The sequence below is a fragment of the Homo sapiens genome, chromosome 8 (genome assembly GCF_000001405.40).
Source record: "Homo sapiens chromosome 8, GRCh38.p14 Primary Assembly".
NCBI classification, from domain to species: domain Eukaryota; kingdom Metazoa; phylum Chordata; class Mammalia; order Primates; family Hominidae; genus Homo; species Homo sapiens.
The window spans coordinates 93,774,329-93,801,599 of NC_000008.11; the positions used below are offsets into that span (position 1 = coordinate 93,774,329).

The following is a 27,271-nucleotide window of genomic DNA, read 5'->3' on the forward strand; positions in this document are numbered from 1 at the left end:
TGAAAACAAAATAAACTTTTTCTCTTTTTATTTATTTCTTTTTTGTATTATACTTTAAGTTCTAGGGTACATGTGCACAACATGCAGGTTTGTTACATAGGTATACATGTGCCATGTTGCTGTGCTGCACCCATTAACTCGTCATTTACATTAGGTATTTATCCTAATGCTATCCCTCGCCCAGTCCCCCACCCAAAGACAGGCCCCAGTGTGTGATGTTCCCCGCCCTGTGTCCAAGTGTTCTCGTTGAATTCCCACCTATGAGAGAGAACACAGAGTGTTTAGTTTTCTGTCCTTGTGATAGTTTACTCAGAATGATGGTTTCCAGCTTCATCCATGTCCCTGCAAAGGACATGAACTCATCCTTTTTTATGGCTGCTTAGTATTCCATGGTGTATAATATGCCACATTTTCTTAATCCAGTCTATCATTGATGGACATTTGGGTTGGTTCCAAGTCTTTGCTATTGTGAATAGTGCCGCAATAAACATACATGTGCATGTGTCTTTATAGTAGCATGATTTATAATCCTTTGGGTATATACCCAGTAATGGGATTGCTGGGTCAAATGGTATTTCTAGTTCTAGATCCTTGAGGAATTGCCACACTGTCTTCCACAATGGTTGAACTAGTTTACACTCCCATCAGTGTAAAAGCATTCCTATTTCTCCATGTCCTCTCCAGCATCTGTTGTTTCCTAACTTTTTAATGATCACCATTTTAACTGGTGTGAGATGCTATCTCTTTGTGGTTTTGATTTACATTTCTCTGATGACCAGTGATGACGAGCATTTTTTCATGTGTCTGTTGGCTGCATAAATGTCTTCTGTTGAGAAGTGTCTGTTCATATCCTTTGCCCACTTTTTGATGGGGTTGTTTTTTTCTTGTAAATTTGTTTAAGTTCTTTGTAGATTCTGGATATTAGCCCTTTGTCAGATGGGTTATTGCAAAAAATTTCTCCCATTGTGTAGGTTGTGTGTTCACTCTGATGACAGTTTCTTTTGCTGTGCAGAAGCTCTTTAGTTTAATTAGATCCAATTTGTCTATTTTGGCTTTTGTTGCCATTGCTTTTGGTGTTTTAGTCATGAAGTCCTTGCCCGTGCCTATGTCCTGAATGGTATTGCCTAGGTTTTCTTCTAGGGTTTTTATGGTTTTAGGTCTAGCATTTAAGTCTTTAAACCATCTTGAATTAATTTTTGTATAAGGTGTAAGGAAGGTGTCCAGTTTCAGCTTTCTACATATGGCTAGCCAGTTTTCCCAGCACCATTTATTAAATAGGGAATCCTTTCCCCATTTCTTGTTTTTGTCAGGTTTGTCAAGGATCAGATGGTTGTAGATGTGTGGTATTATTTCTGAGGCCTCTGTTCTGTTCCATTGGTCTATGTATCTGTTTTGGTACCAGAACCATGCTGTTTTGGTTACTGTAGCCTTGTAATACAGTTTAAAGTCAGGTAGCATGATGCCTCCAGCTTTGTTCTTTTTGTGTAGGATTGTCTTGGCAATGCAGGCTCTTTTTTGGTTCCACAGGAACTTTACAGTAGTTTTTTCCAATTCTGTGAAGAAAGTCATTGGTAGCTTGATGGGGATGGCATTGAATCTATAAGTTACCTGAGGCAGTAGGGCCATTTTCACGATATTGATTCTTCCTATCCATGAGCATGGAGTGTACTTCCATTTGTTTGTGTCCTCCTTTATTTCATTGAGCAGTGGTTTGTAATTCTCCTTGAAGAGGTCCTTCACATCCCTTGTAAGTTGGATTCCTAGGTATTTTATTCTCTTTGTAGGAATTGTGAATGGGAGTTCACTCATGATTTGGCTCTCTTTTTGTCTGTTATTGGTGTACAGGAATGCTTGTGATTTTTGCACATTGATTTTGTATCCTAAGACTGCTGAAGTTGCTTATCAGCTTAAGGAGATTTGGGGCTGAGACAATGGGGTTTTCTAAATATGCAATCATGTCTTCTGCAAACAGGGACAATTTCACTTCTTCTTTTCCTAATTGAATACCCTTTATTTCTTTCTCTTGCCTGATTGCCCTGGCCAGAACTTCCAACACTATGTTGAATAGGAGTGGTGAGAGAGGGCATCCCTGTCTTGTGCCAGTTTTCAAAGGGAATGCTTCCAGTTTTTGCCCATTCAGTATGATATTGGCTGTAGGTTCGTCATAAATAGCTCTTATTATTTTGAGATATGTTCCATCAATACCTAGTTTATTGAGAGTTTTTAGCATGAAGGGCTGTTGAATTTTATCGAAGGTCTGTTTTGCATCTGTTGAGGTAATTATGTGGTTTTTGTCATTGGTTCTGTTTATGTGGTGGATTACGTTTATTGATTTGCATGTGTTGAACCAGCCTAGCATCCCAGGGATGAAGTCAGCTTGATCGTGTTGGATAAGCTTTTTGATGTGTTGCTGGATTTGGTTTGCCAGTATTTTATTGAGGATTTTTGCATCGATGTTCATCAGGGATATTGGTCTAAAATTCTCTTTTTTTGTTGTATCTCTGCCAGGCTTTGGTATCAGGATGATGCTGGCCTCATAAAATGAGTTAGGGAGGATTCCCTCTTTTTCTATTGATTGAAATAGTTTCAGAAGGAATGATACCAGCTCCTCTTATACCTCTGGTAGAATTCGGCTGTGAATCCATCTGGTCCTGGACTTTTTTTGGTTGGTAGGCTATTGATTATTGCCTCAATTTCAGATGCTGTTGTTGGTCTATTCAGAGATTCAACTTCTTCCTGGTTTAGTCTTGGGAGGGTGTATGTGTCGAGGAATTTATCCATTTCTTCTCGATTTTCTAGTTTATTTGTATAGAGGTGTTTATAGTATTCTCTGATAGTAGTTTGTATTTCTGTGGGATCGGTGGTGATATCGCCTTTATCATTTTTTATTGCGTCTATTTGATTCTTCTCTCTTTTCCTCTTTATTAGTCTCGCTAGCGGTCTATCAATTTTGTTGATCCTTTCAAAAAACCAGCTCCTGGATTCCTTGATTTTTTGAAGGGTTTTTTGTGTCTCTATCTCTTTCAGTTCTCCTCTGGTCTTAGTTATTTCCTGCCTTCTGCTCTCTTTTGAATTTGTTTGCTCTTGCTTCTTTACTTCTTTTAACTGTGGTGTTAACAGTGTCGATTTTAGATCTTTCCTGCTTTCTTATGTGGGCATTTAGTGCTGTAAATTTCCCTCTATACACTGCTTTAAATGTGTCCCAGAGATTCTGGTACATTGTATCTTTGTTCTCATTGATTTCAAAGAACATCTTTATTTCTGCCTTCATTTCATTATTTACCCAGTAGTCATTCAGGAGCAAGTTGTTCAGTTTCCATGTCGTTGTGTGGTTTTGAGTGAGTTTCTTAACCCTGAGTTCTAATTTGATTGCACTGTGGTCTGAGAGACAGTTTGTTGTCATTTCTGTTCTTTTACATTTGCTGAGGAGTGCTTTATTTCCAAGTATGTGGTCAATTTGGGAATAAGTGCGAGGTGGTGCTGAGAAGAATGTATATTCTGTTGATTTGGGGTGGAGAGTTCTGTAGGTGTCTATTAGGTCCATTTGGTGCAGAGCTGAGTTCAAGTCCTGGATATTCTTGTTAACCTTCTGTCTTGTTGATCTGCCTAATAGTGACAGTGGGGTGTTAAAGTCTCCCATTATTATTGTGTGGGAGTCTAAGTCTCTTTGTAGGTCTCTAAGGACTTGCTTTATGAATCTGGGTGCTCCTGTATTGGGTGCATATATATTTAGGATAGTTAGCTCTTCTTGTTGAATTGATCCCTTTACCATTATGTAATGCCCTTCTTTGTCTCTTTTGATCTTTGTTGGTTTAAAGTCTATTTTATCAGAGACTAGGATTGCAATGCCTGCTTTCTTTTGCTTTCCATTTGCTTGGTATATCTTCCTCCATCCCTTTATTTTGAGCCTATGTGTGTCTTTGCACGTGAGATGGGTCTCCTGAATACAGCACATTGATGGGTCTTTACTCTTTATCCAATTTGCCAGTCTGTGTCTTTTAATTGGAGCATTTAGCCCATTTACGTTTAAGGTGTAATATTGGTATGTGTGAATTTGATCCTGTCATTATGATGTTAGCTGGTCATTTTGCCCATTAGTTGATGCAGTTTCTTCCTAGCATTGATGATCTTTACAATTTGGCATGTTTTTGCAGTGGCTGGTACTGGTTGTTCCTTCCCATGTTTAGTGCTTCCTTCAGGAGCTTATGTAAGGCAGGCCTGGTGGTGTCAAAATCTCTCAACCTTTGCTTGTCTGTAAAGGATTTTATTTCTCCTTCACTTATGAAGCTTAGTTTGGCTGGATATGAAATTCTGGCTTGAAAATTCTTTTCTTTAAGAATGTTGAATATTGGCCCCCACTCTCTTCTGGCTGTAGAGTTCCTGCCAAGAAATCTGCTGTTAGTCTGATGGGCTTCCCTTTGTGGGTAACCCAACCTTTCTCTCTGGCTGCCCTGAATATTTTTTCCTTCAGTTTAACCTTGGTGAATCTGACAATTATGTGTCTTGGGGTTCCTCTTCTCAAGGAGTATCTTTGTTTTGTTCTCTGTATTTCCTGAATTTGAATGTTGGCCTGCCTTGCTAGGTTGGGGAAGTTCTCCTGGATAATATCCTGAAGAGTGTCTTCCAACTTGGTTCCATTTTCCCCATCACTTTCAGGTACACCAATCAAACATAGATTTGGTCTTTTCACATAGTCCCATATTTCTTGGAGGCTTTGCTCATTTCTTTTTAGTCTTTTTTCTCTAACCTTGTCGTCTCGCTTTATTTCATTAATTTGATCTTCAATTACTGATACCCTTTCTTCCACTTGACCAAATCGGCTACTGAAGCTTGTGCATGCATCACATAGTTCTTGTGCCATGTCTTTTAGCTCCATCAGGTCATTTAAGGTCTTCTCTACACTGTTTATTCTAGTTAGCCATTTGTCTAATCTTTTTTCAAGGTTTTTAGCTTCCTTCCGACGGGTTCGAACATCCTCCTTTAGCTCAGAGAAGTTTGTTATTACCGACCTTCTGAAGCGTACTTCTGTCAGTTTGTCAAAGTCATTCTCCATCCAGCTTTGTTCTGTTGCTGGTGAGGAGCTGCATTCCTTTGGAAGAGAGGAGGCACTCTGGTTTTTAGAATTTTCAGCTTTTCTGCTCTGGTTTCTCCCCATCTTTATGGTTTTACCTACCTTTGGTCTTTGATGTTGGTGACCTACAGATGGGGTTTTGATGTGGATGGGGTTTTGATGTGGATGTCCTTTTTGTTGATGTTGATGCTATTCCTTTCTATTTGTTAGTTTTCCTTCTAACAGGTCCCTCAGCTGCAGGTCTGTTGGAGTTTGCTAGAGGTCCACTCCAGACGCTGTTTTCCTGGATATTACCAGCGGAGGTTGTAGAACAGCAAATATTGCTGCCTGATCCTTCCTCTGGAAGCTTCGTCCCAGAGGGGCGCCCACCTGTATGAGGTGTCTGTCGGCCCCTACTGGGAGGTGTCTCCCAGTTAGGCTACACAGGGTCAGGGATCCACTTGAGGAGGCAGTCTATCCATTCTCTGAGCTCAAACGCTGTGCTGGGAGAACCACTGCTCTCTTCAGAGCTGTCAGACAGGGATGTTTAACTCTGCAGAAGTTTCTGGTGCCTTTTGTTCAGCTATGCCCTGCTGCCAGAGGTGGAGTCAACAGAGGCAGCAGGCCTTGCTGAACTGCGGTGGGCTCCACCCAGTTGGAGCTTCCCCGGCTGCTTTGTTTTCCTACTCAAGCCTCAGCAATGGCAGACACCCCTCCCCCTGCCAGCCTGCTGCCTGGCAGGTTGATCTCAGCTGTGCTAGCAGTGAGCAAGGCTCTGTAGGCGTGGGACCCACCGAGCCAGGCGTGGGATGTAATCTGGTGTGCCGTTTGCTAAGACCATTGGAAAAGCGCAGTGTTTAGGTGGAGGTGTCCCATTTTTCCAGGTACAGTCTGTCACGGCTTCCCTTGGCTAGGAAAGGGAAATCCCCCAACCCCTTGCGCTTCCTGGGTGAGGTGATGCCCCACCCTGCTTCAGCTTGCCCTCCATGGGCTGCACCCACTGTCCAACCAGTCCCAATGAGATGAACCAGGTATCTCAGTTGGAAATGCAGAAATCACCTGCCTTCTGCGTTGATTATGCTGGGAGCTGCAGACCGGAGCTGTTCCTACTCGGCCATCTTGGAACAGACCTGCACAAAGTAAAATTTTTATATCAACTTTTGCATAGACTGTTCAGGTTCATGTTACTTTTCTTTGCCATTGTTCTGTTGTAGGTATATGCCAATCTAACATCTTGTCAAGCTCTTGGAAATATGTGTGTGATGAACATGAATTCTTACGACTTTGCCACATTTGATGCATGTGGACTATTTCAGTTTATCTTTGAAAATACTGCTGGACTGAGCACTGTTCATTCTATTTCATTTTGGTAAGGATATTTTGATTGATGAAATGTTATTTTGACTGAATTCAGTGCAGTTATTAATATATTCACAAATACTAATAATAAGAAATATTTATTCTCCATTATTAAAACAGTTGTAACTGTTTATAGGAGACAGAATCTTCCTTGGCTGTTTTATGGAGACCAGTTAGGATTAGCACCTCAAGTGCTCAGTTCTACCTCTCTTCCTACAAATTTCAGTTTTAAAGGAGAAAACCAGGTAAAAGTGTCTAATATCATTAGAGGATAACTACATTTTGATTTATAATTTTAAAAGGTAATAAAGTTACAATTCTTGCCTTTTTAGGTTGTTGGTACAAACTCAGTTACTAAACTAAATATAAATGTCAACAACTCATAAGAACTAAATAGTATAGAGTTTAGCTATCTTACTGAATATGTGGATACTTCTGGATTGTGTGGTTATGGCAAGAAGTTGTACTTGTAGGGTTGGGAAGAGCAGTTTTCATCACCAAATGCAAAAAATCTCTGTCCTGTTTTTTCCACACCTTAAAGAAGTGCTTCCAAAGATTGATTGGGGCTCTGTGACATTGCTCAGCACTTCACAGGGCCAAATTCCTACCTGTAACTTTTTGACCTTCCAGAATGAGGAGATACTATTCTCCCACACTGCCTCCTATTTAACAGGTTCAAAAGGAGGCTATCTGTCACTAGTGCTGCCTCTCAATTCTAGAATAATAATTTTCATGCAAAAAACCAGTCTAATTCTTTCAGGTCTATTTAGTCATAGAAATAGATTAATTGAACCTCAAAATAAAGATAATTGAATGTAATTTTTCAACAAAAAAGATCAGTCAACAATGAAAATTTCTTTATAGGATATTGTATTACTTTCAGAGTATTTGACCTGATTTTGCTCGTTTTCTTTAATCAGAATACAAAACTGAAGTTTGTTGCTGCTTCCTATGATATAAGAGGAAATTTTCTCAAGTGGCAAACTTTAGAAGGAGGTGTTTTACAGGTAAGCATGATTCTAGTTAAAGAATTAATAACATGCATTATTTTTGCCTGAGACAAAGCCAAGAGGAAAAGATTATTGTATGAATAAAGCATCAGTTACATACTACAGTTGATTTTTTTTCTGATGCTTTAAATTAGACTTTCTTAAGTTTTTTGTTTGTTTGTTTGTTTGTTTGTTTTTTCTTTTTTTTTTGAGATGGAGTCTCGCTTTCTTAACCAGGCTGGAGTGCAGTGGCGCGATCTCAGCTCACTACAAGCTCCGCCTTGCGGGTTCACGCCATTCTCCTGCTTCAGCTGGGAGCTGGAACTACAGGCGACTGCCACCACGTCCAGCTAATTTTTATGTACTTTTAGTAGAGACGGGATTTCACCATGTTAGCCAGGATGGTCTTGATCTCCTGACCTCGTGATCCGCCCTTCTTGGCCTCCCAAAGCGCTGGGATTGCAGGCATGAGCCACCATGCCTGGCTAAGTTTTATTTCTTTAAAGTTATGACTTTCATTTATAACAGATGTTCCCTTAACTTTTCATATCCTTGATACATTAAATAAGTATTATGTAGAGCATATATCCATGTTCGGGTTTGAGAACTCTTGAGTATAAGAATAGAAAACATTTGTGAGATTTATCTGTTGTATTATTTTGCTGCAGCTTTGTCCAGACACAGAGACAAGGCTAAATGCTGCTTATTCATTTGGAACAACCTACCAACAAAATGTAAGTTTGAACGATATTAGTCTATATTTTAGCTTTATTTTTCAAAATATCATGTCAGCAGTAATTGGAATAATACTTAAATTTTTGAGATTGGAAATTTTTTATTCTTGGTTTTTTTTTTTTTTTTTTTGAGATGGAGTTTTGCTCTTGTTGCCCAGGCTGGAGTGCAGTGGTGCAATCTCAGTTCACCACAACCTCCGCCTCCCAGGTTCAAGTGATTCTCCTGCCTCAGCCTCCCGAGTAGCTGGAATTACAGACATGTGCCACCACGCCCAGCTAATTTTTTGTATTTTTAGTAAAGACAGGGTTTCTCCATGTTGATCAGGCTGATCTTGAACTCCCCACCTCAGATGATCTGCCCTCCTCAGCCTCCCGAAGTGCTGAGATTACAGGCATGAGCCACCGTGCCTGGCCGGAAATGTTTTTAATAGTGAAGAATAATTTCACTATTTAATATAATTTTTTATTACCTGGGTACATAAAAGCTTAATTTAAGTGGCATAAACAGAGCACCTTGTTATCTATAGAGTTTTTTGTTTTTTGAGACAGAGTCTCGCTCTGTTGCCCAGGCTGGAGTGCAGTGGTGCAATCTCAGCTCACTGCAATCTCTTGCCTCCTGGGTTCAAGCAATTCTCGTGCCTCAACCACCTGAGTAGCTGGGACAACAGGCATGTACCACCACACCCAGCTAATTCTTGTGTTTTGCATAGAGATGGGGTTTTGCTGTGTTGACCACGCTTGTCTCAAACTCCTGACCTCAACTGATCCACCAGCCTTGGCCTCCCAAAGTGCTGGGATTACAGGTGTGAGCCACCTCGTCCGGCCTAGAGTCTTAAACATCATATAATATTACATCTTCATAATAAATTGTTTATCTGCTTCTAGGCTTATAGGTCTTAAAAAGTAATGCTTACTTCTGAGCATTTTGAAATAAAGTAAAAATACTACTTTTTTTAAATGACTAATAAAAAGTTACTCCCTTCTTCTACCCGCTCATAACAAATAAAAATAATTCCTTCATCTTCTTCCATTCTTTTCTTTCTCCTTCCTTCTCTGACTTTCCTTACTTTGATACCTATTTTGAAATTACATTATTTTACTAAGGAATATTATGAGCCATTCAATACTTGAAAAACATGCATGTATTAGTCCGTTCTCACGCTGCTAATAAAAACACATCCGAGACTGGGTAATTTACAAAGGAAATAGGTTTAATTGACTCACAGTTCACTATGGCTGAGGAGGCCTCAGGAAACTTACAATCATGGTGGAAGGGAAGCAAACATGTCCTTTTTCACGTGGTGACAGGAAGAGAAGTACTGAGCAAAAGGGGGAGAAGCCCCTCATAAAACCATCAATCTCATGAGAACTCACTCACTATCATGAGAACAGCATGAGGGTAACTGCCCCTATGATTCAATTACCTCCCTCCGGGTCCTTCCCATGACACATGGGGATTATGGGAACTACAGTTCAAGATGAGATTTGGGTGGGGACACAGCCAAACCATATCAATTCATTAGTCTGTAAAAGTACATCTTGATAAAGTTCCACGCACAACCATAGAACAAAACCATAACAAAAAATACCATTATGGAAAGTAGATTGGAAGAATCTACTAACAGTGGTTACCTCTGGATAGTGGGGTTAGAAATTATTTTTTTCTTTTTTATAATTTCCAAATTTTCTACCATGAACATGAATTTACTTCTTTTGTCAGAAATGATTTACACGTTGTTGTTGCTGTTGTTGTTAAAATAAATGTTATTGTGCTTCTAACATAGGCCAGAAAGATCAACACTTATGTAATGCCTATCTGTGTGCTCAGCATTTTATCGTTATTATCCCATTTGATTCATAAAATAACTATATGAGATACATAGTATCTGTGCTTCACAGATGAGGAAATTATGCCGTGTAATTAGGTAATTTACTCAAAGACTTGTGTCACATAAACTGTGGAGCCAATGTTCTATCATCAGGTTTAAAAAGCATTTTTATTTCTTTGAACCTGGCTAACTCTCAAGTCCTTCATAGACTAGTGGGCAAAACAGTTATATAGACAAAGAATTGCAAAGAATGTGATAAGTGTCATTCTATAGGTATGTACAAGGTACTGATTCCTGGGGAAGTATAGAAAGGCTTCACAAAGTAAGTGATACTTGGATTTGTATAATGAATATGAGTTTTCCAGAAGAACACAGTGGGGAAGGAAATATCAGACAGAAATCACATTTGTAATGACAGAGAGACATACAGTAGTATGGCATATTTAGAAACTACAAGTAGATTAGTATGAATGGACCACCATAGACTGATAGGGAGTAATGAGAGATAAGCCTGGCTTGGTTAATGGAAGCCAGATCATATACATCATTGTACAGCAGGAGAAAAAATTGGGAATTTATCCCGTAGGACAGTAGTTTTAAACCTTTTCACTGATGTACCCTTAATATTGAGAATGAAGGTATACCTCCTTCATCTGAGTTGAAGCTCAAGAAGTTCTCAAAATTCTCAAAGCAGTACTTTACTGTTAGTGGTTTTGGTCCTTATAAAATAATCATAGTATTCATGTTTTGGAAGACAAATGAAAATGCATATAAACAAGGTAGTATAAAGACATTTTGCAAAACTAGAAAAACACTCTGAAGATAATAAATATGCTTGCTAATTTTCAATTGTGATCTTTTATTTTATTTTTTACTTTTTAGTACTTTAAGTTGCTGTTTTATGTGCTTTTATTTTTAATTTTACTTTTCAGTGTGAGATTCCTATCTCTAAGATCTTAATTGACTTTCCCACTCCTATATTTTATGATGTGTACCTTGAATATACTGATGAAAATCAACATCAATATATTTTGGCTGTGCCTGTGTTAAACCTAAATCTTCAACATAATAAGATATTTGTGAACCAAGGTAAGACATCCATACATACCACTCTTTTCCCTGAGCAGAAATCAACAAATAAGTTAACCTACATGATAATTTAATAAACCACTGATTATAAGAAAGGTCATGAATTCTCTCTTATGTGGTTCTATACAGTGTGCCAAAAAATGAAACAATAAATTGCTGGTGGACTTAGAAACTGTTGCTAATTTTATTGCCAGACATATTGTTAAGAAATTATACTGTTGCTGAGGGTATATCCTGAGAAACATTAGTAGAACCGTAAATTGGGGCTTTTTCGTCAAGCTGTCCCGAATATGCTTTTTTGGACAAATTAGTTTCTTTTGTTGTTATTCATGTTATAAAATTCTGCTTTTTCAGGTAATTTGCAGGGGAAAGCCTTCCAAATTTATGAAAAGTTCAATCAGAAGACATTCAAGTCCAAGGCACGGTGGCTCACGCCTATAATCGCAGCACTTTGGGAGGCCAAGACGAGAGAATTGCTTGAGCCTAGAAATTGAAGACCAACCTAGGCAACATAATTAGAACTGGTTGCTACAAAAAAAAATTTAGCTTGGTGTGATGGTGCACCCTTGTAGTCCCAGCTACTCTGGAGGCTGAGGTGGGAGGATCACTTGAGCCCAGGAGGTTGAGAATGCATGCAGTGAGCCATGATCATGCTATTGCACTATAGCCTGGTCAACAGAGTGAGACCCTGTCTAAAAAAAACAAAAGAAGACATTCACATGAGTTAGAGAACGCCATTGTCAGGTGTTTCTTATACTAGTAGCTTTTTGCAGCCATCTTATCTAAAACAATAATTTCATGTTTTAAATTTGTGCAGTAAACTTTTTTCTTTTTATAATAAAAGACAGCAACTCTGGAAAGTGGCTTCTAACTCGGCGCATTTTCTTAGTGGATGCAGTAAGTGGACGAGAAAATGACTTAGGAACTCAGCCAAGAGTAATTCGAGTTGCTACTCAAATATCACTGAGGTAAACAAATGTCTAATGATATTATTTATGGGAAAATATCATAATGGAAGTGTTTGCCAGTCATTAGTAGATGAAAACAATAAGGACAACTGAATTGGAACAGTTGGTCGGGTTATTTTAGGTGTATGTGTAGATTGGCATAGACCAGTAAAAGTGAATAGCCAAGGGGGAAAACTATAACAGAAGAGTGTGAGGAGTTAGGTCAAAATGCACATTATAGGTCCCACTCTAGACCTGCTGAATTAGAATGGGTTGCGAATAGCTAAGTAAATACCAGTGAGCTGAAATTGGTGTTTCAGGAAGAGCTTGCCAGATGATTGTTAATGTTTAGGACTCCCCTGTCCTCATTTCTTTCAGTGGCTTTTGTTCTAGGTTTACCCAGATTAATTTTCAACACCTCCCTCTTCCTAGGATAATCTCATTATGATCCTACGTTAGGATAGTACCTCGCCACTTAAATTTCTCTTTCTTTTCCAGTGTGAGATCTCTAAAATCTTAGTGACTTTCCCACTATAATATTTTATGATGTGTACCTTGAATACACTGATGAAAATCAACACCATCATCTCACAGTAGTTTGGTACTTTGAAGTACTTCAATATACTTATTTTTCAGTTATTTCATTTTGATTCTCATAATCTTATAAACAGTGCAGAAACTTTGTTATTTATCATGCTGAAATCCAAATGTACTGTCTTTTCAGCATTTCTTCAGTCTGCTAATATGGTGTTCCTAGTAAAAATGAAAATGCACCTAGTCAGACTTGATGTGTTCTTGATGAAACCATGCTGGCCCCTAGTGATTGGCACTTTCCTTTTTGAATTCACAAACTGTGCAGTACTAATGCATCGAATTTGGCAAAATGAACCTCACTTTGTGCCATAACCATATTACAGCTGACACTTTTTTTTTTTTAATTTAAAAATTTATTTATTTGTTTATCTTGAGACGGGGTCTTGCTATGTTGCCCAGACTGGTCTTGAACTCCTGGGCTCAAACAGTCTTCCCGCCTTGGCCTCCCAAAGTGCTGGGATTACAGGCATGAGCCACTGCACCTGGCTTGACACATATTATTTTGTTAAGAATTCATCTTTCTCTTTTGAAAATCAAGATCTTATCTGCCTTTCTTTAGGCTTCATGTAGCACTGTACTTTTGATTATTCCTCAAAGATAGTTTATAGTTCTTCAGTGATTTCATTTGTAAACTTCACAGGACTTGGATTGAGCTTCTAATTTATCTCAGATGGTACATTTTTGGTTTGCTTTTTCTTTAATCTTACACCATCAGATGGTATATTTTAATGTTCAAGTCTTGATCACTGAAGATAGCTTTTGTTGTCATCATTAGTTTATGTGTAACCTTCCTTAGTCCTTGTTAACTACTTGGTTCTGAGATCATCAGACAATTCATATTAAATTCAAAAGAAATGGTAAGTTAAATGTATGTTTAAAGGCCCGGATATACTGATTACTATAAATGCATTTTCTTTTAAATAGTGTCCACCTTGTACCCAACACAATAAATGGAAACATCTACCCTCCCTTAATCACCATTGCCTACAGTGACATTGATATCAAAGATGCCAACAGCCAGTCTGTGAAGGTGAGTTCCTGACTTATTAGTGCCCTTGTATGTATAAATAGAGTATAATACTGATTCAGTTTACATTTTGGTCAAAAGACAGTCTTTTTTTTTTTTTTAAGTTCTAAATAAACCTTTCTCTACATATAGTCAAGTCTTAATTATTCTTTACTAATAATGGTAAGAGGTGAGTTCTTATGGATCCTGAGTATAAAAAAGTAAGAATGGATTATGTTTTTCAGTAGAAGCCTCACCAGCAGTTGAGTATCCTTGTTAGGGATCCTGGGATATGCTGAGATGTTCAATGTCTGCTCCTGTTCTTTTTGGCCACCTTGCTTTTGTTAAGATTTTGTGGGTCACGCACAGTGGCTCATGCCTGTAATCCCAGTACTTTGGGAGGCTAAGGCGGGCAGATCATGAAGCCAGGAATTCGAGACCAGCCTGACCACCATGGTGAAACCCCGTCTTTACTGAAAATACAAAAATTAGCCAGGCGTGGTGGCGCACATCTGTAATCCCAGCTACTCAGGAGGCTGAGGCAGGAGGATCACTTGAACCTGGGAGGCGAAGGTGTAGTGAGCCGAGATCGCGCCACTGCACTCCAGCCTGGGCGAAAGAGCAAGACTCCATCTCAAAATAAATAAATAAATAAAGATTTTGTGTCTTTGCCCAATTAAGCCAGGAACTCAGACTTTACAGTGGGCATATGTGTGCTCACCAATCTATGACCCACTTAATAGAGACATACTTCAACAGGCAGAAAGAGATGATGATTATCAGCTTTATAACTAGTATTGCTAACATGAACTAGAGGATGTAGTTTGGACCTGCAGCCAAATAGGTTTCCCACTACTTCACCAACTAAATTAAACTTAACTACAGGACAGAAGGCCTCTCCTGCCTGGGAGGGCCTACGTATGGAAGCGAGACCTCTTAGGCTGCACTGCAGAGAATGAGCCTAAAGAAGGTTGAGCCACACATGCTCAGTTCCTCTTCTCAACTTCTCCAGTCAGATAAAGCATCCCTGCTTTGAGGAGGGGTAAATGAGAGAGGGATAGAGGTAAAAAAAAACAGAGGTAATTCTTCTGTACGTTTTCCTCCTAGAGATTAAGTGGCTATTCTCTTCTTTCTCTAAAAACATGAGAAGTAGAGCATAAGCATTTCTTACCTCCAAACTCTGTAAGAGCTTTGAATTTCTACTATTTTACTTCTGTATTTTAATATTCTAGTTCCTTCAGCCAGTGCTTTTGGCCTCTCTGTTGTGCTTCTACTTGTACTTGACTGCTATTGGATTCAAACTTTAATTAAGCAAAAATACACATGTAGTATAACTTTTAAAGACTTTCCATCCTCATTTGTATTACCTAATCCAATGCTAAAATTAGTTTCCGTTGACTGAGCTTGTATACACTGTAATGAGAGGAGAAGAAAATCCAAAACATGCTTGGTAACAACAAAAGACTGCCTGGTTTAAAACTTCCTGGAGTGATATTATGGGTAATCAAGAATGTATTTATTTTCAGCTTGACCAACATAGTGAAACCCTGTCTCTACTAAAAATACAAAATCAGCCAGGCATGGTGGCGCTTGCCTGTAATCCCAGCTGCTTGGGAAGCTGAGGCAGGAGAATCACTTGAACCCAAGAGGCGGAGGTTGCAGTGAGCCGAGAGCACGCCATTGCACTCCAGCCTGGGCAACAAGAGTGAAACTCTGTCTCAAAAAAATATATATATATATATATATTTTTTTTTTAATGTAAAACACTTCTGAGTTTTTTTCTTTAAATATTATTCTTGTCCAAAATAATTCTAAACTAAGCCTTGATAAATTGAAAAATAACAAATAGAAAAAAGTTAAGTCCGCTGGTCGTAGTGGCTCATGCCTGCAATCCCAGCACTATGGGAGGCTGAGGCAGGCAGATCAGTTGAGGTCAGGAGTTAGAGACCAGCCTGGCCAACACGGTGAAACCCTGTCTGCTAAAAATACAACAACAAAAAAAATTATCTGGGCATGGTGGCAGGTACCTGTAATCCCAGCTACTTGGGAGGCTGAGGCAGGAGAATCGCTTGAACCTGGGATGTAGAGATGGCAGTAAACCAAGATTGCACCACTGCACACCAGAGTGAGACTCTGTCTCAAAAGAAAAAAAAAAAGTCAAGTCATGAAACTACATTGATGAAGTCCACCTCAAATTATTCTAATTATAAAATATACAATTCTTTCATCATTTCTTAATTTCTCGTGGCAGCTGTTGCAAAATTTTACATCAGTTGTAAACATCCAGCTATGTCTCTGCTCTTTATCTGGTCTTGAGCAGATCAGGACCATCTAATATGAATTCCTTAAGATTTCCTCTTTAATATTTCAGAATCTCTGATTCATTGTCCTTCCCATTTCTTGTTCCTGTTTCTAAGAAAGAAGGTCCCTTCCTCTCTTCCTAAACTAATCTTCTATCTAAACTCATTTACAGTACCTTTTCCAATATCCTGTTCCATCCCTAATGTCTTATTCAGCCAAGTCTCTCTGCAAGTCCCTTTCCTTTGCTTATAAAAACTCTGAGATTGCCTTATCTTAAAAACAAACTAAAACAACCAACTAAACAAACAAACATTTTACTCAGTTCTGCCAGCTGCCCAGCTTGCTATTATATCTCTTCTTCATTTCCCAACCATTTATTCTTTCATCATTTGCAGTCTGGCTCTTGCCATTTACTTCTTTGAAAACCTCTTTCATGAAAGTCAGCAATGATTTCCACATATAGTGGCTTTCTTTACCTTGACATTTATACAACATTTGACACTGTACTCAACCTCCTCCTCCTTCTTGAAACTCCCTATTCTGTGACCATGGTAAGACTTAGGTATCTTCCTCTCCTACCCCTCACAGTCCTCTTCTCTGACCCTTTACTAGGTTCTTCTTTCTCTTGTCTCTTAATGTAGTGGTATCTTTAAGATTTTGTTCAGACCTTTGATTAATCTGCGGTTTAGCAACTGGTGGTTTACCCAATTGCTAAATTCCTGATGCACAAGTTTAGTCAAATTCCTCAGTTACAGAAGTCTATCAGAAAATGAAATATGATTAGTTTGTGCATGAATTTAACTTATCTCCTAATGAGCCCCTTTTTTAATGTATGTGAAAGGATATTTAAAGCAGCACAAGTAATTCTCAAAAGCATATCTATTTACGTGTAAGTTAAAGGTCAACTCTAGTAATATTGATAGTTAAAAACTATAGTGTTTATGGTAAAACCCAGCTACAAATGTATTTTTATAACAAAAATAAGTTTGTATCATATAATTTCAGTATAGCTAATTTGTTTTGTTTTAAATATCAGGTTTCTTTCTCAGTCACATATGAAATGGATCATGGAGAAGCACATGTCCAGACAGATGTAAGTTTATTTTAACCTTTTAAAATATATACAGTGTATTTTATAATTAAATGATTTCAGATGTGCAAGAAGTTGCTAAAACAAATTTGCCAGCTATTCTTTCCCCAGACTCCCCTAATGTTAGCATACAAAACCTTAGTACAATGATCATAATCTGGAAATTAATATTGATGTAGTCCTATTAACTAAACTACATACTATTTGAATTTCACTATTGAATTTTTTTCTGTTTCAGGACCCAATCTAGGGTCACATATTGCTTTTAGCTGTCATATCTCGTTAGTGTTTTACAATGTGTGACAGATTCTTAGTCTTTCTTTGTCTTTCATGACCCTAACACTTCTGAAGAGTACTGGTCCATTATTTTGGCCCTCAATTTGGGTTTGTCTGGTATTTTCCCATGATCAAATTGAGTTCATATAGTTTTGGCAAAGATGCCACCAAAGTGATGCTATAATAATAAATAAAAATAAGTATCTCATGGGGGAGATTCTTTGAAATTATGCAAACATCCTGCTTCTTCTTATTCTTCTTATTCTCCCCCTCTCATTTTTTTTTTGAGACGGAGTTTTGCACTTGTTGCCCAGGCTGGAGTGCAATGGCACGATCTTGGCTCACCGCAACCTCTGCCTCCCGGGTTCAAGCGATTCTCCTGTCTCAGCCTCCTGAATATCTGGGATTACAGGCATGTGTCACCACACCCAGCTAATTTTTGTATTTTTAGTAGAGATGGGGTTTCTCCATGTTGGTCAGGCTGGTCTCGAACTCCCAACCTCAGGTGATCCACCTGCCTCAGCCTCCCAAAGTGCTGGGAATACAGGGGTGAGCCACCATGCCCAGCCGGCCCTCTAATTTTATTTTATTTTATTTTAAATGGAGTCTCACTCTGTCGCCCAGTCTGGAGTGCAGTGGCGCTATCTCGGCCCACTGCAACCTTCACCTAGCTGGTTTAAGCAATTCCCCTGCCTCAGCCTCCCTAGTAGCTGGGATTACGGGCACACACCACCACGCCCAGCTAATTTTTTAATATTTTTAGTAGAGACAGGGTTTCATCATATTGGCCAGACTGGTCTCGAACTCCTGACCTCAGGCAATCCGCCCGTCTCGGCCTCCCAAAATGCTGGGATTACAGGCGTGAGCCACGGTGCCCGGCCCTCTAATTTTATTAAATAGCATCCATTGATGATTTTGCCTGCAGAAAGTTTCACTGTGATATTTGCCTGATGGTGATTTTCTGTTTCCCTAATTACTTTTTTATTTATTAATTTGGAACTTTACTATAAGGAGAAACTCCCTTTGCTCACATTATTTATTCAATTATTTATTTTTAAATCAGTGTGAACTCATATTTATTTTATTCTAGTAATTATAATATATTATTATTTGTTTTCTTGTTCAAATTGTCCCAGATTTGGCCATTACAAGTTCCTCCAACTTGACTCCTGTGTCCTTTCTTTTTTTTTTTTTTTGAGATGGAGTCTCACTCTGTCGCCCAGGCTGGAGTGCAGTGGCGCGATCTTGGTGGCTCACTGCAAGCTCCGCTCCCAGGTTCATGCCATTCTCCTGCCTCAGCCTCCCCAGTAGCTGGGACTACAGGCACCCACCACCATGCCCAGCTAATTTTTTGTATTTTTAGTAGAGACGGGTTTCACCGTGTTAGCCAGGATGGTCTTGATCTCCTGACCTCATGATCCGCCTGCCTCGGCCTCCCAAAGTGCTGGGATTACAGGTGTGAGCCACTGTGCCCGGCTGACTCCTGTGTCCTTTCAACATTTCCCACCCCACCATTTTTTTGAGCACTTCCTTACTTGTTCACAGTGTTTTTGAACACCGATGACAGAAATTACATAAATTCTCAATTGTTCTTTTGTTTTTTAGATTGCTTTGGGTGTATTGGGTGGGCTAGCTGTTTTAGCATCTCTTTTGAAGACAGCAGGATGGAAGAGGCGCATTGGGAGTCCCATGATTGATTTACAGGTATAATCTCAGGAGTTTTTTAAGAATATTTTTATCTTTTGACCATTCTGGATCCTTCTCATAAGACACAGCTAGAGAATAAGTAAAAAAGTTGCATTGAATTTTTCTGGGATATGTAATTAGGGTAAGTATTGCTGGGTCATATGGTATATGTGTACCTCATTTTCTTCCCACCATACTGTATGCCAGTCTATATTCCCACCAGCAATGCTCTTCTTATTTCTGCACATACTTGGCAACACTTGATATTTTTCCAACCTTTTCATTTTTTGCCAACCTCATGGCATATAGTAGTATGTCATTGTTGATTTCATTTTCATTTCTCTGTACTCTTCATATACATTTTAATCGTTTGGGTTTCTCCTTCTGTGAACTGCCTGTTTATATCCCTTGCCCATTTCTCTATTATGTTTCCAGTTTTTATTGTTTATTTGAAGAATTTTTTTTTGTATTTTCTAAATAGTAACCCCTTTTTGGTTTCTGATGTTGAAATATATGACCAAATAAATATGTGACCCATCCGTTATTTTTATCCATGTAGTCCTTTGTTTAACAGAAACTTTCAGGTTTGTTTTTGTTTTCATTTTTGTTTTTTTTTGTTGTTGTTTTTTTGAGACGGAGTCTCACTCTGTCGCTGAGGCTGGAGTGCAGAGGCACAATCTTGGTTCACTTGCAACCTCTGCCTCCCGGGTTCAAGCAATTCTCCTGCCTCAGCCTCCTGAGTAGCTGGAATTACAGGCGCACACCACCATGCCTGGCTAATTTTTGTATTTTTAGTAGAGACGGGGTTTCACCATGTTGTTCAGGCTGGTCTTGAACTCCTGGCCTCATGATCCGCCCACCTCAGCCTCCCAAAGTGCTGGGATTACAGGCATGAGCCACCACGCCTGGCCAGAAACTTTTGGTTTTGATATCATCATATCTGAATATTTTTTTTCATGTTATGATACGTGCTTTTGGGATCTTGTTTAGGAAAACCGTCCCTATATCAAGATCACAAAGATAGTCCACATTTTATTCTATTAACTTTATACTTTCACTTCATGGTTAACCTTTTATTTTTATTAAACATTTAAAAAATATTTACCATGTACCAGGCACTTTTTAAAGCTTTATGTATGTAATTTTCTGAATCCGCACAGTAGCTCTTTGAAGTTAGGTTATTATTATTATTTGCGTTTTACACGTGATGAAATTGAGGTAAAGGTTAAATTTTCTACTCACTTGATTTTTGCAACTCAGTAATAGGTATTTCCGTTTTGTTGATGAAGAACATGAGAAAGGTTACATGGTAGCTTTAACCAAAGTATCTTTCTGATTCCAAAGCCAGTGGGCTAAGGAATCAGCAGGGGTACTTGATTTACTACTTGGGATAGTCCAGAAAGGCTTCCCAGAGAAATGAACTTTAAGTGGGATTATCTGTTCATTCTATAATAGTCACTGAGGCTCTATTGTCTAAGTGTCTGGCACTCTACCAGGAGCTGGAGAATGTGTTAGTGAGCAAAGACAGACATAGTCTGTGCTCTCAGAAATCATGAGAACTTACCAGAGAGGGGAAGAGAAGAATATTTGGTAAAACAATGCCCATTTTATTCCAGAAAGTATTTGAGATGAACGTATGGAGTGGTTAGTCATTGACTACATGGCTGGAACTGGCAGATGAGGCTAAAAAGTTAATTTTGGCCCATATTGTGAAAGACCTTGTGGATCAGGAATTTATATTGCAATGAGGAGTTGTTCATTTTTAACAAGGGGAGTGACACAATCCAATTTACATCTTAGAAAACTAACTCTGGTGGTAGTGTGGAGGAGAGATTAGAGGGGAGGATTCCCAACTAAGAGAAAATTAGGAAGCAGTTCAATTTTCTTAGATAGTGAAAGATGAGAAGAGTTGAAAGAAGAGGCTACCAGGAACGGCCAGAAAGGTAAGGAGCCAAAAGGTAGCAAGGAGGAGGAAGCAGGTGGTCTTTATAGCTGGATCATATGGGGATATGTGAAACAAGGCTTCAGGCTTAAGAAATGGAGTGGATGATGTATAAAAGTGGTAGTGTTACTAAAAGTGGTATATACATGGAGTCTTAAACAGCTGTAATTCTTTTTTTTAAATTGCAGACAGTTGTGAAATTCTTGGTGTACTATGCTGGTGATCTGGCCAATGTTTTCTTTATCATCACAGTGGGAACAGGTCTTTACTGGCTTATTTTCTTCAAAGTGAGTGAGTTTCTGAATTTTCCCCAACTGCCAATATCTGAATAGTTGAAAAGCTTTCTTTATAAAGGAACTATTTTTATTTGAGAGAATTTTTGATCAACAGTATTAAGAAAAGTTCCCAACTCCCCATTCCTTGAGTGTGCTGAGCTTATCGATTACATCACTATCTTCCTCTTTTATGCTTTCTTTGGTTTATAAATTGTGCTTAGTAAAAACCTTGTTCAATTGGAAGACTTAGGTGGGAGGATCCTGTGAGTCCAGAATCAAGTCCTGCCCGGGCAGCATACTGAGACCCTCCTTTCCCAAAAAAAAACAAAAACGAAAACAAAAAACAAACAAACAAACAAAAAAAACTGTGTGTGATAATATTTAATCAAGTAATTTTTATTATAGGCACAGAAGTCTGTGTCTGTTTTGCTGCCAATGCCAATTCAGGAAGAACGTTTTGTCACTTATGTTGGATGTGCCTTTGCTCTGAAGGTAAGTTTTAAAGGACAGGTTACCAAATTTAAAAGGCCTGCTAATGAACTAACAAGTCTTTAAAATTAAAATGCTTTCAAAAATCTTTGGCGTGAAATTCACTTTGGTTTTGAAAGAAAGCATTAATTATTTTATGTGGTAAATTTACTTTTATTTATAGTAGATGCTCAGTCTGAAACTCTGCCTTAAATATTTTTTTCAAAGAAGCCATGAATTTGTATGGCTTATTTGATAAAATGATATTTCAGTATATAACTTTCTTTAAAGTCTGATGATACATTCACAATGGGACAAAATGTCTTCAGGCATGAATTTTGTCTCCATTAATCAAGGGTAAAAGGTACCACTCTGGATAAAGTGTTGAGATCTTAAAAGTTGTTTTGTCTGTCTCCAGATTCCTTTGCTCCTTTCTTCCTATGGCCCCCCAATCCCCAACTCAGTGTTCTCCATCAATGTAGGTGAATCTCTTTATATGCCTGTTGGTAGTCCTTATCCTATTTTACTGTGAGTGTTAAGTGTCTGCTTTTTCCACTGACTGGGAGCTTCTTGAGGTGAAGTATCTCATACTTAGATTTTTATCCTTTATTTGATGAATAATGCAGCAACTAGAAAGAATGCCTCAGTTTAAACATATTGCTTGTATAAATAAGAAAGATGTGTTTCAACAGCACATTCTTTAAAAATCAGAAATCTGAATAGCAGAAATAGAAAAAAAAGACAGTAAGAGCATTCGAAAACTTTAATTAGGAAAAACAAACTATAGTTGAAAATATCTTTACTTATAAAGAAGTCAGCTGATCTACAAAACAAAGTGTGCTTCTAGAATCTTTGGGAAAGAGTCAATTATATAAGTCCCTATGTGAGGAGGAGGAAAAATGTCTCCTCTTTTCATATTCCTATTTTAAAGAAAGAAAGAAAAAGGGAAGGTAAATTAAGATGTATATGAAAATTCTGTGAATTTGATGATTCCAGGTTATCTGATGAGCTTCTAATGATTCCTTAGTGGTATTATAACTTCATGTGAATTCACTCATAAAATTATATGTTCTTGTGATAACAGTATGTTTCTTAAAGAGTCAATATTGGTTTTATAAGCAGACTTAACGCTGGTACTTTTTCAGGTGTTTTATTATATGTCATTCTCAGGCACTACAATTTTTGCATAAGCTCATATCCCAGATTACAATAGATGTATTCTTTATTGATTGGGAGCGACCTAAAGGAAAGGTTCTTAAAGCTGTTGAAGGTAACTGAAATAAAAAATATTTGTACCAAAATTCTTTTGCTACCCTTGCAGAGCAAAGGAGGTAAAACTCTTTTACTCATTTTATTTTCCTGACCAGGTGAGGGTGGTGTACGAAGTGCCACTGTTCCTGTAAGCATATGGAGAACATATTTTGTAGCAAATGAATGGAATGAAATTCAGACTGTGAGAAAAATTAATTCACTCTTTCAAGTACTTACTGTCCTCTTCTTTTTGGAGGTATAAACTGTTTGATGTGATTATATGCGACTTACATGTACCTTATAAATATTAAACTAATATAATTCCAACTAAGTTTTCATGACAGTGGAAGATTTCTCTAAAGGTTGAAATATTGTTGTGAAGCCATTAAAAAGGAGTACCTTTATGTTACGTATTTTACCACAATTCTTTTTTTAAGTTTACCATCTTAAGCATTTTTAAGTGTAGAGTTTAATAGTGTTAAGTTGGCCAGGCACAGTGGCTCATGCCTGTAATCCCAACACTTTGGGAGGCTGAGGCAGGCGGATCACCTGAGGTTGGAAGTTCAAGACCAGCCTGGCCAACATGGAGAAACCCCGTCTCTACCAAAAAATACAAAATTAGCTGGGCATGGCGGCACATGCCTATAATCCCAGCTGCTCGGGAGGCTGAGGCAGGAGAATTGCTTGAACCCGGGAGGCGGAGGTTACAGTGAGCCGAGATTGCACCATTGAACTCCAGCCTGGGCAGAAAGAGCAAAACTCCATCTCAGAAAAAAACAAACAAACAAAAAGTAGTGTTACGTACATTCACATTGCCACGCAAAATCATCATCACCATTCATCTTAGAACTCTTCATCTTGCAAAACTGAAACTCTATACCCCTTAAACAACTCTGTACCCATTCCCTGCTACACCTAACCCCAGGCAACCACCATTCTATAATACTTTCTGTCTCTGTGTGTTTGACTGCTCTAGGTGTAAGGAGTAGCTTTAAAACCACTGGTTTGTATCAGAATCCCTTGGGGATCTTTTGTAAAATACCTATGCTCAGGCTCACCCTTAGAGACTATGTGTTGATTTAGTAGCTTTGAGGTAACTCCAGGTATCTATATTTTGAAAAAGCTCCCTACCCCCGATCCATATTCTCCCCTGCATTAGAATCACTATTATAAGTTTGATATTTTTCAACAAATTTGTATTGAACACTTACTGTAGACTATGTTCTGTGCTAAGAGCTGGGGCTACACTGAACAAAACACAACATGTTTGTGATACATATGCAGTTATTTCATGGATTTGGTTGGAATTATTAAAGGAAGTATTCAGTACTGAGTATAAGACTGAACATGGAAACAGTTTATATGGGAATAGGTTTTCTCAGGAATTATCTGCTTAATTAAGATTGAATATAAATCATTAACTCTTAGGTCTGTCTGTCTGCCTTCCCTCTTTTTTCTTCTTTCTTTCCATTCTCTTTCCCCTTTCCCTTCCTTTCCTTTTATAAAACTAGTAGAAGAATGTTTGTATCCCTAGGGCTTTAAAATAATATGAACAAGACTTCCAAAGTTCACTTGAAGTGGTATTTTGGTTTTTCTTAAATGGACAGATAAAAATTACATATGTTTATAGTTTACAATACAGTGTTTTGATATATGTATTCATTGTGGAATGGCTAAATCAAGCTAGTTTATCTGTTACCTCACATCTTTTCTTTTTGTACTAAAGTAGTGTGTGTGTGTGTGTGTGTGTGTGTGTGTGTGTGTGTGTGTTTAAGAGTTTCCTCAGCTTTAAAAGGTGTTATGTGAAAAAGTTTTATGGTCAAGTAAGTTTGGAAAATATTGGATTCAGTATAATCATGTAGCACCTTTTACTGTAAAACTTCTCAGAGCCTTTATTCTACAAGGGTGGGAGGCATGGAGGTGAGTGTAATGGATGGACCAAAAGTATTTAAACATAGATTCTTTTTTCAAGAACTTATGTCCTTTAGAAGACATTTTGTAATATACTGTTTTAAAGTATAAAAATGTTTAGTACAGTGCCTGGCACATGTCAAATACTCATGAAATACTACTTGTTGGTTTCACTCATTGGTAGTTTACTGATGAAAGTTTTATCCTTTTAATTAAATTTTTAGTCTTGTCAGTGTGTATGACAATAAGGTTATATTTGGCCCTTAGTCATATTGAGAAGAATGCCAAATGAGCTAACTAAATATTGTGTAATAAATACTTTGTAGTTAAAATACTATATAATAATTATTTTTATCTAGATTTTCTACTGTTTATACAAACTTAGATATTTTAGTTTTTCAAGGTGAGTAGGGAGAGGTTTTCTGTTTTCAGTCTAGAGTAGTTTTCTTTATCCATGTCCGTTTAAATTACTACTTTTCCTTTTTACTCCAGGTTGTGGGATTCAAGAACTTAGCATTAATGGACTCATCTTCTAGTCTTTCTAGAAACCCACCTAGCTACATAGCTCCTTATAGCTGCATTTTGAGATATGCAGTGTCTGCTGCTCTTTGGCTAGCCATTGGAATTATACAGGTAAGGAATTATACAGGTAATATTACTTCTAAGTAACATTGCTTCTTTATAACTCTGCCTAATTACTGATTATCATCAAATATTGACCACATCCTTCTTTCTGTAGCAGAAAGAAGGTGACAAGAACAATAGCTAATGGTCAGTTCTTTTTTTTTTTTTTTTTTTTTGAAACAGAGTCCCGCTCTGTCACCCAGGCTGGAGTGCAGTGGCATGATCTTGGTTCACTGCAGCCTCTGCCTTCCGGGTTCAAGCAATTCTCCCACCTCAACCTCCTGAGTAGCTGGGTCTGTAGGCTCCCACCACTACATCCAGATAATTCTTTTTGTATTTTTAGTAGAGATGGGTTTTTACCATGTTGGTCAGGCTGGTCTTGAACTCCTGACCTCAGGTGATCCATCCTCCTCACCCTCCCAAAGTTCTGAGATTACAGGCATGAGCCATCGCACCCAGCCAGTAGTCAATTCTTATATTGTATTAGTCACTGTGCTAATTAATTACTGTTGGTCCATCACTTCTTGGCCTTTAGGCTAAGATCGAGTGTAATTACTGTTGATCCTCAAATAGTTCAACCCCATGTTGAACTGTTTGACTGAACTCATTGAGAGTAGAAAATACAGTGTTCACAGAATGCAAATTCTGCATCTGTAGAGGGCCAACTTTCTGTATAGATGGGTTCCAGCAGGACTGAATATGGGACTTGAATATGGGTGGATTTTGGTATACTTGGGGGTTCTGGACTCAATCCCAACATACTATAAGGACAATTGTAATTGCTTTATACCTAATAATGTCTTAATCTTTATAATAGCCCTCGGAGATAAGCTCTGTTATTATCCTCATTTTATAGATGAGGAAACTGAGACCCAGGAAGGCTAAAAAAATTGCCTGAAGTCATGTGACTAGTAACTGACAGAACTGGAATTGGAACTCAGGCAGCCTGATTTCAGAGTTCACGTTCTTGTCAATAGTGGGGCTCTGAAGGGCCTTTGAGAGTCCTCAGCTTTATAGTAATAGGACAGACTCTTTGTTTAGTTTATATGTAAATACAGGGACAGATAAGCTACCCTAAATATGTTCTTTTCTTTTGAAACATAACTTATTGTTTACATTTATTTATATCATGAAACCTCACTCAGATTGCTCGTACCCCTTGTGGAGTTTTTCTTGAAATATTTATTAAAATGACTGAAAGTAAAAATAAGTCTTTTTAGCCTCAGGTCCCATGTATCTAGTAGAGGCCATAAAGAAAAAAAAAAGACAAAAGGAAGAAAAGAAAAAGAAAGAAGCAGCAGCAAGCATCTAACTTTCAGATACTCATAAACAGAAAGAGTCCTTCTGTTTACTTTAAAATTTCCTTAACTTTTATAATCAGCACATGAAGATAGGACCTCTAGAGAGCAGTTTTAACTTCCTATAGCTGGCTAATAGCTATCTACCTAAAACAGCCTATTTTTAAGAATCTTTTGAGATTTTTGTTTGTTTGGTTTTTGTTTTTAGAGACAGTCTTCCCCTGTCTCCCAGTCTGGAGTACAGTGATGGAATCATAGTTCACTGCAGCCTCAACCTCCCAGGCTCAAGCAATCCTCCTGCCTCAGCCTCCTGATTAGCTGGGACTACAGGCACATGCCACCACACCCAGCAATTTTTTTTTTTTTTTTTTGAGACAGAGTTTCACTCTTGTTGCCCAGGCTGTAGTGCAGTGGCGTGATCTCAGCTCACTGTAACCTTCGCTTCCCAGGTTCAAGCGATTCTCCTGCCTCAGCCTCCCAAGAAGCTGGGATTACAGGCACCTGCCACCAGGCCCAGCTAATTTTTGTGTTTTTAGTAGAGACGGGGTTTTA

The 27,271-nt window shown here is 38.3% G+C and overlaps 1 protein-coding gene across 14 annotated transcripts in view, besides 2 other annotated features; it reads left to right on the forward strand.

Moving 5' to 3' along the window:
* The window catches only part of TMEM67 (transmembrane protein 67), a 77,810-nt gene that overhangs the window by 19,485 nt on the left and 31,054 nt on the right, over positions 1-27,271 (forward strand). For 12 of the 14 annotated variants that reach the window (XR_001745619.3, XR_007060761.1, XR_007060762.1 and 9 more), the window contains 14 exons: positions 6,265-6,419; positions 6,546-6,654; positions 7,330-7,416; positions 8,067-8,132; positions 10,894-11,050; positions 11,895-12,018; positions 13,516-13,621; positions 16,935-16,991; positions 18,870-18,968; positions 21,081-21,179; positions 21,573-21,659; positions 22,806-22,905; positions 23,003-23,142; positions 25,290-25,430. Coding sequence is in view for 6 of the 14 variants with exons in the window: in NM_001142301.1 (NP_001135773.1) it covers positions 6,265-6,419; positions 6,546-6,654; positions 7,330-7,416; positions 8,067-8,132; positions 10,894-11,050; positions 11,895-12,018; positions 13,516-13,621; positions 16,935-16,991; positions 18,870-18,968; positions 21,081-21,179; positions 21,573-21,659; positions 22,806-22,905; positions 23,003-23,142; positions 25,290-25,430 (1,527 nt within the window). In the remaining 8 variants the exon portion in view is untranslated. The remainder of the gene's footprint in view (positions 1-6,264; positions 6,420-6,545; positions 6,655-7,329; positions 7,417-8,066; positions 8,133-10,893; positions 11,051-11,894; positions 12,019-13,515; positions 13,622-16,934; positions 16,992-18,869; positions 18,969-21,080; positions 21,180-21,572; positions 21,660-22,805; positions 22,906-23,002; positions 23,143-25,289; positions 25,431-27,271) is intronic. The other 2 variants (XM_011517363.4, XM_047422410.1) reach the window with 1 other exon arrangement.
* Positions 5,237-5,766: an enhancer, noted in NCBI's record as "H3K27ac-H3K4me1 hESC enhancer chr8:94791793-94792322 (GRCh37/hg19 assembly coordinates)". NCBI's record gives its function as "activates a minimal SCP1, AML or CMV promoter by ChIP-STARR-seq in naive H9 embryonic stem cells {active_cell/tissue: H9 hESC(naive)}" and the evidence as "EXISTENCE:reporter gene assay evidence [ECO:0000049][PMID:30033119]".
* Positions 5,767-6,295: an enhancer, noted in NCBI's record as "H3K27ac-H3K4me1 hESC enhancer chr8:94792323-94792851 (GRCh37/hg19 assembly coordinates)". NCBI's record gives its function as "activates a minimal SCP1, AML or CMV promoter by ChIP-STARR-seq in naive H9 embryonic stem cells {active_cell/tissue: H9 hESC(naive)}" and the evidence as "EXISTENCE:reporter gene assay evidence [ECO:0000049][PMID:30033119]".